The sequence below is a fragment of the Homo sapiens genome, chromosome 10, assembly GCF_000001405.40.
Source record: "Homo sapiens chromosome 10, GRCh38.p14 Primary Assembly".
Lineage (NCBI taxonomy): Eukaryota > Metazoa > Chordata > Mammalia > Primates > Hominidae > Homo > Homo sapiens.
In genome coordinates, this window is record NC_000010.11 from 112,033,984 (window position 1) to 112,050,428 (window position 16,445).

Sequence of the window (16,445 nt, forward strand, 5' to 3'; positions counted from 1 at the left end):
AAGCCAAAGTGCCTAGCCAAAGCAAAAGCAGCTTGGAAAAGTGGATGAGACATGAGGAAAAAATAGAAAGGTATTAACAAAGGAGAAATCAGACCTGTCGTGCTAGTTGAAGGCAGGTGGTTCGATCACCTTAGGAGCTGCCAGTGCACTTCAGAGCCACTAAGAACACATTCTCCAACCCCTTCCCACTATGCTAGACCTAACATGTTCCAGATAGAAGTCCCTTTCCAGGAGAAAACCTCTTCAGCATTGATTCTCAATCAGAATCACCTGAGGGTTGGTCCAAAACCTCTACTGAGAGAGGACTCTGCTCCCAGAGTTTCTGATTCAGAAGCTCTGGGGCAGGGTCAGAACATTTGCACAGGTAACAAACATGATGCTGCTGGTCCAAGAGCTATACTTCGAGATCCACTATTTCACAGTGAGTAGAAGTCCCACCTCGGGAAAACACAGAAAGGAACCCTCAGATTCAAAAACAACCTACGTTCTCAGAGTGTGTTTTACTCTTGCTTAAGGGTGATGGTTTTAATGTTAGAGTGACCCAGATTCAAATCCTGTCGCTGACCTGACTAGCAGTGTGACCTTGGACAGTTACTTCTCCAGGTCTCAGGCCTCTCTTCAGGAAAAACATAGGAACAATATCTACCCCACAGAGGTGCTGACTGTGAAGGAAGTGACATTTGTCAGGCTTCTAGAATGCTACCTTGCTCGGTAGGTGATTTCCCTAAATTGCAAATGTGGACAAGGTCCAACACTTTGGGAACCAAGCATCAAGGGCCATTTCATCCATCTTTGAGATCATGTGTCCTCAGCAAGGATGATATCATTCCCAAGGCAGTAAAAGTTGGTTCTTGGGGAAGGGGTGAAAATCTGGACTCTTTAAAACAGATATACAGTATAATATCGATGGCAGCAGTCCCCGACCTTTTTGGCACAAGGGACCTGTTTCGTGGAAGACAATTTTTCCGCTTACAAGGCAAGGGGTGAGGGCGTGGGGTATGGTTTCAGGATGAAACTGTTTCACCTCAGCTCATCAGGCATTAGTTAGATTCTGCAGTTCACAATAGGGTTTGTGCTCCTACGAGAATCTAATGCCACCACTTATCTGACCAGAGACGGAGCTCAGGTGGTAATGCTAGCTTACGCACCACTCACCTCCTGCTGTGAAGCCTGGTTTCTAAGGATCTGTGGTGCCATGGCCCCCAGGGGTTGGGGACCCCTCATCTATGGGATTCATCTACGGTATGAAAATTTCATGGAGAGGGTGCAATTATGAAAATATACATATACATAAAATGTTTCTTTAGCTTTGATAATAAAACAAGGAGAAATACTGTTTCAGATGGTGTGTCATAAAAGTTGAGTAACCGGCTCAAGGTCACACAGATTCAAGGTAGCAAAGCCTGATGATGCCAGGTCTTAACTCCAAATCCAGTGTTCTCATCCCAACATGATTTTGCCATTTACAAATAGTATCATAACACAGCATAAAAAATAAAGGAGAAGAAGAGGAGAAAATGAGATTCCCTCCCCCCAAAAAATAGCATGACATCATGCTTACTTGACTTTACCTAACTTAGCTGTCTTAGTTCATTTTGTGCTGCTCTAACAGAATACCTGAGATGGGCAATTTATAATGAATGGAACTGCATTGGCTGACAGTTCTGGAGGCTGGGAAGTCCAATAGCAAGGCTCTGGAATCTGGCTAGGGCCTTCTTGCTGCATCATCACATGGCAGAAGGCAGAAGGGCAAAGAGGCAAAAGGGGTCAAACTTGCCCTTTTATAACAGCATCAATCACACCTGTGAAGGCAGAGCCCTATGGCCCTATCATCTCCTAAAGGTCCCTCCTCCTGACATCACCACAACAGCAAACAAATTTTAACATGAGTTTCAGAAGGGATAGACATTGAAACCATAGCACTAGCACAGAGCAAGAGTGTGTTTTGTTTGTTTTTAATTTCCTTGGGTGCGCACCTTTGAGGCTAGAACTGATGTAAGAAACAGTATGCAAGAATGCAAAACACATTGGAATCAGACAGACTTGGATTTGAGTCCTAGCTCTGCCACTTACCGATTGGGCAATCTTAGCCCGTTACTCAGTCCCATGAGACATCATCTATAACAGGGAACAGCAGACTTGTCTGTAAAGGGCAAAATAATATTTTAGGTTTTGCCAGCCATAACAAGTGGTCTCTGTTGCAATTACTCTACTCTGCTGTGTAGCATGAAAGCAGTCATAGACAATATGTAAATTAATAATCTTGGGTGTGTTTCGATAAAACTTTATCTACAGAACAAGGTGGCAGGCTAGCTTTGGCCCAATGGGTATAGTTTGCCCACTCTGATCTACAAGATAGGGGTGATGATACCAACAATTTTGGATAACTATGGCTGCTTAATAAACCACCCCATGACTGAATGGCTTAAAACAATGTTAAATTATTCCTCACCATTCTGTGGGTCAAGAACTCAGGCAGGGTTCAGATGGGTAGTTCTTTGTTCTAGTGGCATCAGCAGAGATCACTCACTCAGCTGTATTCAGTAGCAGCTAGGAGGGATGCATGCTAAGAAAGCTTCTCCACCTTGGCCGGTGCTTTCCCATGTGGCCTCTTGCTCTCTCTCCACTGGTGTCTCATCATTCAGGAGTCCAGCCTGGGTCCCTCCCACAATACATGGGAATTATGGGAGCTACAGTCCAAGATGAGATTTGGGTGGGGCCATCTTTACATGGGGCCTGGCTTCCCCGGAGAGAATATGAAACCTCCCAGGCTTCTTAAAGAACAGGTCTGAAAATGACATAGTGTTGTTTCTGCCACACTCTCGTGGCCAAAGCAAGTCACAAAGGCATCTCAGATTCAAGAGAAGAGCAAAGAGGCTGTTGGTAGGAAGAGGCAGTATGTGTGTAAGGGAGACAGAGGAATTGCTTGCAGACATCCTTCAAGAGTATGGACCTGATTGAGAGGTGAAGAGGAGCTAATACAGGGAAAATGTTTAGCACATAGAATAGGTCAATACTACCCCAAAAGCACTGGAGAGTCCCTGTGGCGGGCAAGCTCCTGAGTCACCCTTACTCTTGCTTAGATGACTGCAATAACCACCTTTCTGGTCGCCCTGCTTTAATTTTTGTCTACGTTGGTCCACTCTCCTCACTGTGTCAGAGCGATCTTGTAGAAAAGCAAGTCAGATGATGTCACACTATTGCTTCAAACCCTACAGTGGGATCCATGGTATTTAGAATAAAGTGCAGGCTCCTTCCCTTGTAAGGCTTGATTTTACCCCCAGCCCACTCTACAGCCTTGTTTCCTCCACTCTTACCATTGCTCAACCCGCTCTGGCTGCACTCGTTTCTCTGCAGTTGCTTGAAAACGACAAGCGTGCTCCTGCCTCGGGGCCTTTGCATTCCTTGTTTCCCTTTTGCGGAGTACCCTTTCTTCACAAATTCATGTGGCTGGGTCTCCTAATTCTCTGGGGTGTCTGCTCAAATATGCCCTCATCAGAGAGGTCTTCCTGGCTCCTCCTATCCAAAAGGGCATGTGTCATCACTCTCTAGCCACTTGCCTCACCTTATGTTTTCACCACAGTGCTTATCATGACTTAAACTATTATTATATATATGTATTGATTTATTTGTTGATTGTCTCTCCCACTTGCATATAGGTCCCCCCGTAGTGGGGATTGTGTTCACTGTTGAAACCTCAGCACCTAGTAATTAGCATGTAGTATGAGCTCAATAAATATTTGAAATAGGAAAGAAAAAAAGGAAAGAAGGAAAGGAGGAAGGGAGGAAGAGAGGGAGGGAGGGAGGAAATGAATGGAGGGGAGGGGAGTGGAGAGGAAGAGAAGTCTACGAATGTGATACCACCTTAGGTTGCACGTCAGACAACTCCATGTAAAGACTTGACTACAGAAATGTGGGGTTTTCATCAGTCAATTTCTCCCATCCCCGCTCCATGGTACGAATCTTTTACAGGCATCTCCTTTATTGTATTGCAGGTTCTATTTCACTTAGACCCCAGGCTGGCTTGCAAGAACAGAATGCATTCTTAAAAGCTACTCTGTGCCAGTTTCACCAAATGCAGTGTTTCAAAGGGTACTTCGGGCCACTCCTTGTCTTGTTTTCCCTTTTCTGTGATTCGTTATGGTCAAGATGAAAGCAATCTGCCAATAAACCTTTTCAAGGGCACTTTAATTGAGATGCTCATGTTCATGTTTTTTAGCCTCAAAACAAAATGCTCAAGGGAAGTCATGTTAGATGAGTTGAAATAAAATCTAGGGCTTTGCTTTTTGTTTTTGTTTTTGAGACAGAGTCTCACTCTGTCACCCAGGCTGGAGTGCAGTGGTGCAATCTTGGGTCACGTCAACCTCTGCCTCCCGGGTTCAAGTGACTCTCATGCCTCAGCCTCCTGAATAGCTGGAATTATGGGCGCCCGCCATCACACCTGGCTAATTTTTGTATTTTTAGTAGAGACAAGGTTTCACCATGATGGCCAGGCTGGTCTCAAACTCCTGACCTCAAGTGATCTGCCCACCTCAACCTCCAAAGTGCTGGGATTACAGGGGTGAACCACCACTGTCCCCAGCTAGGGCTTTGTTTTTAACAAATACACTGCTAACAGTTGGGCAGTGGGGAAATGAGGACCTTCCAAAGAAAGCAGGAGGTAAGTGAGGAAACTAAGAGTATGAATTTGGTGTCTGGCAGAACTTGAATTCTAGCTCTAATACTTACAAGTTCTATAACCATGCAAATGTTGCCTATACTCAGTTTTATCACATAAACTAGAATCTTAATTATCTATTCTATAGGACTGTTTTGAGGAATAAAATGAGTTGATGAATATGAAATGCTTAGCATAAGGCTGGGCATGGTGGCTCACGCCTGTAATCCCAACACTTTGGGAGGCTGAGGCCAGCAGATCACCTGAGATCGGGAGTTCGAGACTAGCCTGGCCAACATGGCGAAACCCCATCTCTACTAAAAATACAAAAATTAGCCCGGCATGGCGGTACATGCCTGTAATCCCAGCTACTGGGGAGGCTGAAGGAGGAGAATCGCTTGAACCCAGAGGCAGAGGTTGCCGTCAGCTGAGATCACACCACTGCACTCTAGCCTGGGCGACAGAGCAAAACTCTGTCTCAAGAAAACAAAACAATACAAACAAAAAAAGAAATGCTTAGCACAACATCTCTCGCTGTTAAGGGCCTAGTTAATGTAAGTCCCCTTCACTGTTTTTAAGAGAGAAACATTTGAAGCCTTAAAGCAGTGTTCTCTAACACATTCCATGTTTCATGTTTAGGACAAGAGAGCTGATTTCCCCCTAATGACTGAATGAGAAGGCAGTACAAGGAAAAGCTTCTGGGATTACTAGAAAGTGGAGAATGTCTGACTATGAATAAAATTGCTGTGGAAAGATCCAGCTCCTCAGCCAGCAAAGCACTGAGTTGCTACCAGGAAAGCAAATAGCAGAACCTGGCACAGCTGAGGTTTAAGGGGAGGTTCTTTTGACAGAGGCTATAACAGACATCTCTGAAATCTGAGACCTGTCAAAGACTACAACTACACCCTTCCCAGCCTCCCCAGGAACCATGACCGCCCTCCATCCAAAGCACTTTGAAGGGAAGACGAACTCAGCAGGCAAAGGTGAAACCAAGAAGTCGTAGTCCTCTGTGAACTCAAGCCAAGCTTTTACTTTCAAAGGGAAACCAATATCTAGGTTAATCAGAAACGTTAGGTGAATGACTTGCTCTATAGAAGCTGGCCAGAGATGAGAGGAAACAAATAGTTCTCTCATCCTTGAAACCAAAACAAGCTTTAATACATTTCAAAACACAAACTTATCTAAGTGGATGGTCAGGGAGGCTGGCTACACAAGGCACCCTCTTTTCCACTAGTGGTTCCAAGTCCCCCAACAACACTATCTCCACATAAAGTGCTAGAGGAAAATCTCCATTTTCATTTAATTTGAGTGGAAAGCAAAGCTGTGGAACCAAAATCTCCCTCCTCTTTTAAGCAGCTGAATCACCGTAATGGTGAGCTCGGACACCCCAGGGCAAACAGGAAATGAGTAAATATTGTCAGGGTTTGAAATTGCCATTTTCCCCTAAAGCATGTGTATATGCAGCAGAAGCAAGAACACAGCAAAGTATGCTAAACCAAGAGTCAAAAATACGCTTTATTCTCTAGCAACATACTCATGATTGAGCCCTCAATCTTTTAGGCCAGTCCTGATTCTTGTTTTATACTTTACAATAATGACTCTTTATTAAACAAATCCTAAATATAGTAGTGTATGCCTTTCACATAAATAGAAATATAAAAAGAAATCTTTTGTAAAGACTATATGACCAAATATTTTGGTTACCATATTAATTTGAATTCATTTAAGTTACCTCCCTAGGCTCTCTTTCCTTTTCATTTTTCAGGTTCTCCCTGAGGAGTGTTACTTACCTGTTCTCCAATGACTCCATAATCTGTAGTGGACTCACATCTTATGCATGACTTAGGTCCCAAATTAGAGACCAAGGCAAAATTTATGAACATTACCAAAATCATCCATGAACTTCTATTCTGCACTCAGCCAAGCAAAATGCTCCCTTCATGAGAGGCACATAAAAACTGAGATTTACCAGGAATCACAGACCCCTGCCTCCCATCATATGCTCACTCCAAGATGTTTGTCTTATCGAATAGTAGATTCCACCTATGCCCTACCTGTTATTCTCCCTTTTGCTCTTTCTTTTGGAGAATGCATTAGTCAATGCAACCAAGCCTTATGGCTCAAGCAGAACCACTAGGCAATGCACAGGTACATCTCTGTAAGGCTGTTCTTTTTATATCTGATGCAGAAACTTGGAGTCCCCAGGGCAGGCAGTTGGTAGGGGAAGACTGATGTAAAGTGAAAGAGATTAAGATCAGGCTGGAACCCACAAGCAAGAGGATGGAACCCAGCCAACAAGGATAAACTAAAACCTCTGTCATTTCTTGTTGCTTCTCACTTTGATAGCGTGGGTCCCTGCAGAAGCTGGAGTATTTTGTCATGGAGCTAAACATACATAACTGAGCTAGGAGTCGGAGAAGCTAAAGGCGGAGCCTGTCAAGGGAAAATGGAGCAGTTACAAGGCCACTGCTTCTTCATGCAGATGGGGCAAGTCAGCAGATCAGTGACAATGCCTGTGAGCCTCAAAATGGCTGCTGCTGCCCTTCCACCCACCAAGTCTCCCAAGACTCTCTCTTATGACTCACCCTAACCAGAAACACACAAAAAAAGGAATTCTGAGAAACTTAGGTGGCCTATGCAAGTTGACGTTTTACAAAGTTGACTTACCATCACGCTGAGTATTTGTTGAATGTTGTCAAGACTCTTCTCCTGTGTAAAAGAATAGAAATTATAACAAACTGTCTGTCAGACCACAGTGCAATCAAACTAGAATTCAGGATTAAGAAACTCACTCAAAACCGCTCAACTACATGGAAACTGAACAACCTGCTCCTGAATGACTACTGGGTACATAATGAAATGAAGGCAGAAATGAAGATGTTCTTTGAAACCAATGAGAACAAAGACACAACATACCAGAATCTCTGGGACACATTTAAAGTAGTGTGTAGAGGGAAATTTATAGCACTAAGGGCCCACAAGAGAAAGCAGGAAAGATCTAAAATTGACAACCTAACATCACAATTAAAAGAACTAGAGAAGCAAGAGAAAACACATTCAAAAGCTAGCAGAAGGCAAGAAATAACTAAGATCAGAGCAGAACTGAAGGAAATAGAGACACAAAAAACCCTTCAAAAAATCAATGAATCCAGGAGCTGGTTTTTTGAAAAGATCAACAAAATTGATAGACCGCTAGCAAGACTAATAGAGAAAAAAAGAGAGAAGAATCAAATAGATGCAATAAAAAAATGATAAAGGGGTTATCACCACCGATCCCACAGAAATACAAACTACCATCAGAGAATACTATAAACATCTCTACGCAAATAAACTAGAAAATCTAGAAGAAATGGATAAATTCCCGGACATATACACCCTCCCAAGACTAAACCAGGAAGAAGTTGAATCCCTGAATAGACCAATAACAGGCTCTGAAATCGAGGCAATAGTTAATAGCCTACCAACCAAAAAAAGGCCAGGACCAGACAGATTCACAGCCAAATTCTACCAGAGGTACAAGGAGGAGCTGGTACCATTCCTTCTGAAACTATTCCAACCAATAGAAAAAGAGGGAATCCTCCCTAACTCATTTTATGAGGCCAGCATCATCTTGATACCAAAGCCTGGCAGAGACACAACAAAAAAATAATTTTAGACCAATATCCCTGATGAACATCGATGCAAAAATCCTCAATAAAATACTGGCAAATCAAATCCAGCAGCACATCAAAAAGCTTATCCACCATGATCAAGTGGGCTTCATCCCTGGGATGCAAGTCTGCTTCAACATATGCAAATCAATAAATGTAATCCATCATATAAACAGAACCAAAGACAAAAACCACATGATTATCTCAATAGATGTAGAAAAGGCCTTCGACAAAATTCAACAGCCCTTCATGCTAAAAACTCTCAATAAATTAGGCATTGATGGGACGTATGTCAAAATAATAAGAACTATTTATGACAAGCCCACAGCCAATATCATACTGAATGGGCAAAAACTGGAAGCATTCCCTGTGAAAACTGGCACAAGACAGGGATGCCCTCTCTCACCACTCCTATCCAACATAGTGTTGGAAGTTCTGGCCAGGGCAATCAGGCAGGAGAAAGAAATAAAGGGTATTCAATTAGGAAAAGAGGAAGTCAAATTGTCCCTGTTTGCAGATGACATGATTGTATATTTAGAAAACCCCATTGTCTCAGCCCAAAATCTCCTTAAGCTGATAAGCAACTCCAGCAAAGTTTCAGGATACAAAATCAATGTGCAAAAATCACAAGCATTCCTAAACACCAATAACAGACAAACAGACAGCCAAATCATGAGTGAACTCCCATTCACAATTGCTTCAAAGAGAATAAAATACCTAGGAATCCAACTTACAAGGGATGTGAAGGCCCTCTTCAATGAGAACTACAAACCACTGCTCAAGGAAATAAAAGAGGACACAAACAAATGGAAGAACATTCCATAATCATGGATAGGAAGAATCAATATCGTGAAAATGGCCATACTGCCCAAGGTAATTTATAAATTCAATGCCATCCCCATCAAGCTACCAATGACTTTCTTCACAGAATTGGAAAAAACTACTTTAAAGTTCATATGGAACCAAAAAAAGAGCCCACATTGCCAAGACAATCCTAAGCCAAAAGAACAAAGCTGGAGGCCTCACACTACCTGACTTCAGACTATACTACAAGCCTACAGTAACCAAAACAGCATGGTACTGGTACCAAAACAGAGGTATAGACCAATGGAACAGAACAGAGCCCTCAGAAATAATACCACACATCTACAACCATCTGATCTTTGACAAACCTGAGGAAAACAAGCAATGGGGAAAGGATTCCCTATTTAATAAATGGTGCTGGGAAAACTGGCTAGCCATACGTAGAAAGCTGAAACTGGAACCCTTCCTTACACCTTATACAAAAATTAATTCAAGATGGATTAAAGACTTAAATGTTAGACCTAAAACCATAAAAACCCTAGAAGAAAACTTAGGCAATACCATTCAGGACATAGGCATGGGCAAGGACTTCATGTCTAAGAACACCAAAAGCAATGGCAACAAAAGCCAAAATTGACAAGTGGGATCTAATTAAACTAAAGAGCTTCTGCACATCAAAAGAAACTACCGTCAGAGTGAACAGGCAACCTACAGAATGGGAGAAAATTTTTGCAATCTACCCATCTGACAAAGGGCTAATATCCAGAATCTACAAAGAACTTAAACAAATTTACACGAAAAAAATCAAACAACCCCATCAAAAAGTGGGCGAAGGATATGAACAGACAATTCTCAAAAGAAGACATTTATGCAGCCAACAGACACATGAAAAAATGCTCATCATCACTGGCCATCAGAGAAATGCAAGTCAAAACCACAGTGAGATAACATCTCACACCAGTTAGAATGGTGGTCGTTAAAAAGTCAGGAAACAACAGGTGCTGGAGAGGATGTGGAGAAACAGGAACACTTTTAAACTGTTGGGGGGACTGTAAACTAGTCCAATCATTGTGGAAGACAGTGTGGTGATTCCTCAAGGATCTAGAACTAGAAATACCATTTGACCCAGCCATCCCATTACTGGGTATATACCCAAAGGATTATAAATCATGCTGCTATGAAGACACATGCACACGTATGTTTATTGCCACACTATTCACAATAGCAAAGACTTGGAACCAACCCAAATGTCCATCAATGATAGACTAGATTAAGAAAATGTGGCACATATACACCATGGAATACTACACAGCCATAAAAAAGGATGAGTTTGTGTCCTTTGTAGGGACATGGATGAAGTTGGAAACCATCATTCTCAGCAAACTATTGCAAGGACAGAAAACCAAGTACCACATTTTCTCACTCATAGGTGGGAATTGAACAATGAGAACACTTGGACACAGGAAGGGGAACATCACACACTGGGGTCTGTCATGGGGTGGGGGGAGGGGGGAGGGACAGCTTTAGGAGATATACCTAATGTAAAAGACGAGTTAATGGGTGCAGCACACCAACATGCCACATGTATACATATGTAACAAACCTGCAAGTTGTGCACATGTACCCTATAACTTAAAGTATAATAGTAAAATAAAATAAAATAAATAAAATAAAATAAAATAATGGTAACAGTCAAAACACAACAAAACAAAAGACTCTTCTCCTGATTTCAACATCCCTGTATTAAAAAGCCTTCCGGACTTCTTCCCCATGTTGTCCCCACAAGCACTTCAAACTCACTGTGCTCCTTACTGTCATAATGACTTTCCTGTCAAATCTATGCTCCTTTCTTTCTGATCTTGGTTAATAAAACCATCTAAGCCTAATACCTGAGATCAGCTTCTCCTCTAAGCTTCTCCACATCTATTCAATTCCAAGTCTCATCAATCCCAAACCTTAAATATCTATCCCAGACTCACTGCCGTCTCCTCTTCTTTTTTCCTCTTTCTTTTTTCCTTTCAACCATAGCAGCCTCCCAACTGGTCTTTCCGCCTCCAGCTTCATCTCCTCTAGATTCAGTGTGTAAGAGTCACTTGGAGAGCTTATTAAAGCACAGATCGCTGGACCCTTGGCTCATCCCCAGAGGGTCTGCTTCAGAAATGCTGATGCTGCCAGCCCACTTTGAGTAGCACTGCTCTACTCAAAGAGAATTTGTTTTCTAAAATGCAACTCCAATATGTCCCTTTCTTCTAGAGAATAACATTCACACTTCCCATATTAATTAGGATCTCTCTCTCCCTCTTTTTCCTGGAAGACATGGCATACTCAAAGAGGAATATGCCTACTTTGAGAAGAGCATAGTAAAGGGACTATTTACAAAGAGCAGAAAGGATAATGCAGCAACAGTCATGCCCCATTACCACTGCTGGGCCTGAGAAGGGGTGCAGATGGATGGTTACCAGAACCCAGACACAGAAAGAATTTCATTAGTGTCATGGAAAGGGCCATCCAACAGGAGCTGTGAGCTTTGGATGAGAGAGGCAGCCAGCCTGAACTCATCTTCTCCATTCATCCAGTCTTCTGCCGGTGCTCCCTATTAGCAGAATCCACCTCAAAGGCAGAGAACAAGGGAGCCCACTGATGTAGCCCAGGTCAGCCACAGGAGAGACAGAGTGCGTAGAAAAGGGTTGGGGAGTGGAATTGGAGTGGCAAGTGTAAGATACGTGGCTCTATAATATTGTACTTAGAGTTCAGGAAATATTTAATGAAATGAAATGGCTTTATCTTCTCAGAGTGGTGAATGGCCCATTGGGCTGAGAATGCTAAATGATACTGGGCACAAATCCTAATTATGAGCAAACACAGGCTTTCCTGACAGTGGCATTCCTTTAAAATAATGGGACACTTCTGATGTGTCTGTAGGCCAGATAGAAGAGAACCAGGTGGACAGCTGGAGACTGGAGAGGACAGGAGAAAGGAAGCACATTACTCATTCCCTTGGAAAAAGCAGTAGAAGAACGAGTCCCTGATGGCTAACAGATGTTATGCAAAAGTTCCGAGTCCAGGGTCTCCCGCTGCTTTCATTCCCCACAAGAACATGATCCTGCAAAGTTTAGTTCTTGTGGAGAGCACATTGCAGAACAATTTGCTTGTACAGTGGATGTGGACATTCCTCTCACACCCCTTCATTTACTAGTTGGCTTTATTTAACAGCAGAGCTGCTTTTGTAAAAGAAGATGAAATTGGAGACTTCATGGAGAAGAACAAGATGGCTTAGATTAACAGTCACAGTTGTATCTGAGAGAATGACTGAAAATATGGGTTATACATCATATATTCCATTTAATCAGCAAAGTTATATTAAGCATCTATTCTGTGCAGAAACTAGGATAAGAGATAAGGATAAAAAGATGGAATCAGAAATATGAGCTTATAGTCTGGAACAGGGAATAAGACATTTATATAAACAGTTAAAATAGAAAGTAAAGAATTATAACACATGACAGAGAGGAGATGCAGATGAAGTGACTACCCCAGGATCGGTAGAGATGAACATCTAAGAGGAAGAAGCACATGTAAAGGCAAGTGGTCGAGAAAGCATTGAGTACATACAGGTGAAGCTTGAAGTAGGATTTAAAATTAGAAAAGTAAGGCTGGATGCAGTGGCTCATGCCTGTAATCCCAGCAATTTGGGAGGCTGAGGAGGGAGAGTTGCTTGAGCCTAAGAGTTTGAGACCAGCTTGGGCAACATAGCAAGACCCCGTCTCTATAAAAAATAATAAAAAATTAGCTGGGCATGATGGTGTGCACCTGTAGTCCCAGCTACTCAGGAGGCTGAGGTAGGAGGATCAATTGAACCTGGGAGATGGAGGCTGCAGGGAGCCATAATCACGTCACTGCACTCCAGCCTGAGTGCAGAGCAAGACTCTGTCTCAAAAAATTAAAAAATAAATATACATAAAATAAAATTAGAAAAGTAGAGTAAGCAATATCACAGAAGGCCTAGAAGACCAGGTTAAGGAGCAGGACCTGGATCTGCTGCACATCAGAGCACCAATTAATAGTCTGCATTAAGAAACAATATATGCACAGCTGTTCTTCTCAACTAGTAGCAGTGTATAGGGAACATCTTTGGACTCTAAACTTATTGTATCAGGCATCCTGTAAATAAAAATATTTTTGGGTGTGCAATAAATACATATTTATTTATAAATTATATATGCAAGTCACTGTTCTAGTGTACTATGTACTTAATAAGGCATATATCAAAAGACAGACACTAAGAAATGAAAATATGCAAGATAAGTAAATAGAAGTGCTAATATTTTCTTCCTACATTCCAATGGACTGCTTTTGTGTGTTCCCTTGGGTCTGTATCCTCTGTTCTTAGAGACCACTAAGAAACAGGCAACCTTCCAAGGAGATGATAGGAAACTTTTCAATATGTGCCCGTGCCTTGGAGTGGAAGATCATATGTCTATTTCAGGGGCTGGGTAGCCTGTGGACAAAGACTGAATGGGGAAGAGGCAGGAAATGGGGATTTTATTAGGGAGGATTAAGTGAAGCCCCAAATTAGGCTACACACAGTGGGAGCTGTTCAGTTTCTTGTCTCCAAGATCATTTTTTGAATTCATTCTCAGCACTGCCCATGACACAGAGGACATGAAGTAAGCTCCCATCTTCAAGGAACTTTCTTTATTTTGAAGCAGAGTTAATAAACATGCCTAGGGGTAGCAAGAGATATGCATCATTAACATGCTCAAAGAGCTAAAGGAACAGAGGCTAGAGACAGCTCACTTCCCAAGGGGAGCGGACAGGAGAGGAGTCAGAAAGGAGTATCTCCAGGAAATGATTGAGCTGGCCCTGGAAACATGGTTAGACTTCCTCCTGGTAGCGGTGGCTATTCTAGGTTAAAACCAGGGGCTGCAGCCAGGAAGTGGTGTGTAGTCCAGCATTATTACAGCACAACAGATAAGAAAGGTGGGCTCAGGCTAATTTATAGATAGCAGAGGACCCTGAGTGTCAGGCCAAGGAGTCTGGACTGGAGGAGGAGAGTGGTAGCAAGATCACTGTGTCCGTAGCCACACCAATTGCTACCATTTATGAAACTTCACTATTTATCAGACCCTGTATCGATCCCTTTACCTACATCATGCCATTGAGGCCTTCCAGAATCCCTCTGAGTTGGATACTCTCATTGTCCCCACTTTAAAGAAGAAAAAACTGAAGCAAATTGTTCAAGCAACTTATCTGAGGTTACACAACTGATTAGAGGCCAAGCTGCTGTTTGACCGCATATCAAACTCAAAGCCAAAATTCTTTACCATGTGCCCATCACAGGGTGCTGGAGCTAGCCTATCATAAGTGTAGGATGAGATGGAATGGGGAAGAGACACTGAGGGTGAGAAAGTCAGCAGATTCTACTCCAAGAGGGCTCCAAGCACCACTTACGGCTTCAGCTAGAGCAGGAGAGAACAGAATCAGGAGCCAGGCTGCAGCTGGAATTGACAGAACCCAGGACCCACTACCCTTGGAGAAAAGCAGGAAGGGATGGGAAAAGGGAGATCCTCAGGCAAGCATCAGTAGTGAGTGGGAAAGTGTAGCTGGAGGGCAAAGAGCAGGCCATCAAAGAAGGAGGGTCCAGTACACACAGGTTCATCTCTGTCATCATCTCCTCCTCCAAGGCAAGATGAATCATGGAAACAGCTCAGGCTCCAGAGTCCAAAGACTTTGTTTTGATGGCAACTTCTTCTGCCACCCAGCAGCTTATGTGACTGGAGCAGCCCTGTGTTCCTGACTCACTGTCCTCGGTAAACCAGGGTGATGACCCCACTTCCCAGGACTTTTCTGAGGATGAAATTAAAGGATGCATAAAAAGCACTAGCCCAGGGTCTGATTTTAATAAACCCTCAAGAAATATTTATTCCTTCCCCTCCTCTTCCTTAAATTAAGAAATCAGAATGTTTTAATGAAGCTGGGGTGGATACATGTTATCTTAAAACCTGAGAGCAAAATTCCTCTTAGAGAAAACACAGTCTGTTATTTAGAAAAACCTCTTGGATAGCAATTCGGGTTGTGAAAAGATGGGTTCTAGACAAGATATCGAAGATGGAGGAGATAAAAGAAAGCCAAAAAGTAAGCAGATCAGTGGAATAAAATAAATGTATTAAATATGCCAAGATGAAGGAGATAGGGGCGGAGTGTCCGGGAACAGGTAGAAATTGACAGACATAAATTGGTCCACAAAAAAAAGGAAGACAACTCTAGTAAAATGCAAGGAGGCCAGCGCCTGGGAACAGAAGACAGCAAGTGAGATGTTCCTGACAGTGGCAAAAGGCCAGGGGAGATTTATAGGCCAGGATCGTCTCACAAATGATTCAAGATGTATATCAGGAATGTGTTGAAACTCCTCCTCAGTAAAAGTCTACTCCATCAGCTGTCTTGACTTGGGGATGCTGTAGGGGAAATTTTTTAAAGGGTTAGTGGCACATTTGGGTGAACATGGGAAAATGGAAACAACAGCCAGAGAAGGTGAACATAGGCAAAGATCAAGAATTACTCAGTGACAGCAGTAAACTGGAGAAAGAGGCAGGAAAGAGAAAGTCAGCTTCCACAAGTTCATGAGAAGATTAAGATTGGAATGGGACTTCTGCCATATGTGAGACAGGGAGCACAAGCAGTTTTTTATTTCTTGTTAAATATTAAAGGAGAAGATGACCTCATAAGTCTTCAGGACTTGGATTTCTAGATAGTTAGTACTTGAAATATTTATGTAACCCAGATATTAATCGCAGCTCCTTACCCCTCAACGATTCCATTGAACTTGGCTTGAACCCCACTTCTAAGCATGAGTCCAAATAGCACCACCACCCACTGTCTGTGAATTTCCAGCCTCACTTCCTTATGGTTCCTCTATCCCTGTTCCTTTGCCAGTACCTAGCATCTCCCTTCTATTTCCTACAAAATCCCACAAAAATGTCCAGGTGAGTTAAGCACCTCTGAGTCTAATAACTTGACTGCATAGTCACCTGCCAAACGCTTTCCATCTTACAAAGGCCATTGCCCACAAATGCTCCTCTCTGCGGTCTCACCCCTGAGATGTGTGGCTGGCCCTCCCTGGGGAGCAGATTTGCAATCCTGTCTGACTTACCCAGCTCACCCACTCACCACCTCAATTCTACGGATTGCAGGCTTTTCATCTTTTCACTTACCGAGTGTCTCAAAAGTCAGTGCAGTTTTAAGCAGGCATTAAGACTTTCAGGACACTGTACAAAAGTTTATTTTTTTATTTTTCTTTTTTGAGACGGAGTCTTGATCTGTCTCCCAGGCTGGAG

At 42.7% G+C, this 16,445-nt stretch overlaps 1 long non-coding RNA gene across 1 annotated transcript in view; it reads right to left on the reverse strand.

The window, feature by feature from the left end:
* The window catches only part of LOC107984268 (uncharacterized), a 31,907-nt gene that overhangs the window by 5,641 nt on the left and 9,821 nt on the right, over positions 1-16,445 (reverse strand). Inside the window, exons 2-3 of the long non-coding RNA XR_001747587.2 lie at positions 7,325-7,366; positions 2,074-2,143 (exon numbers count right to left, since the gene is read on the reverse strand). This is a non-coding gene — a long non-coding RNA (uncharacterized LOC107984268). The remainder of the gene's footprint in view (positions 1-2,073; positions 2,144-7,324; positions 7,367-16,445) is intronic.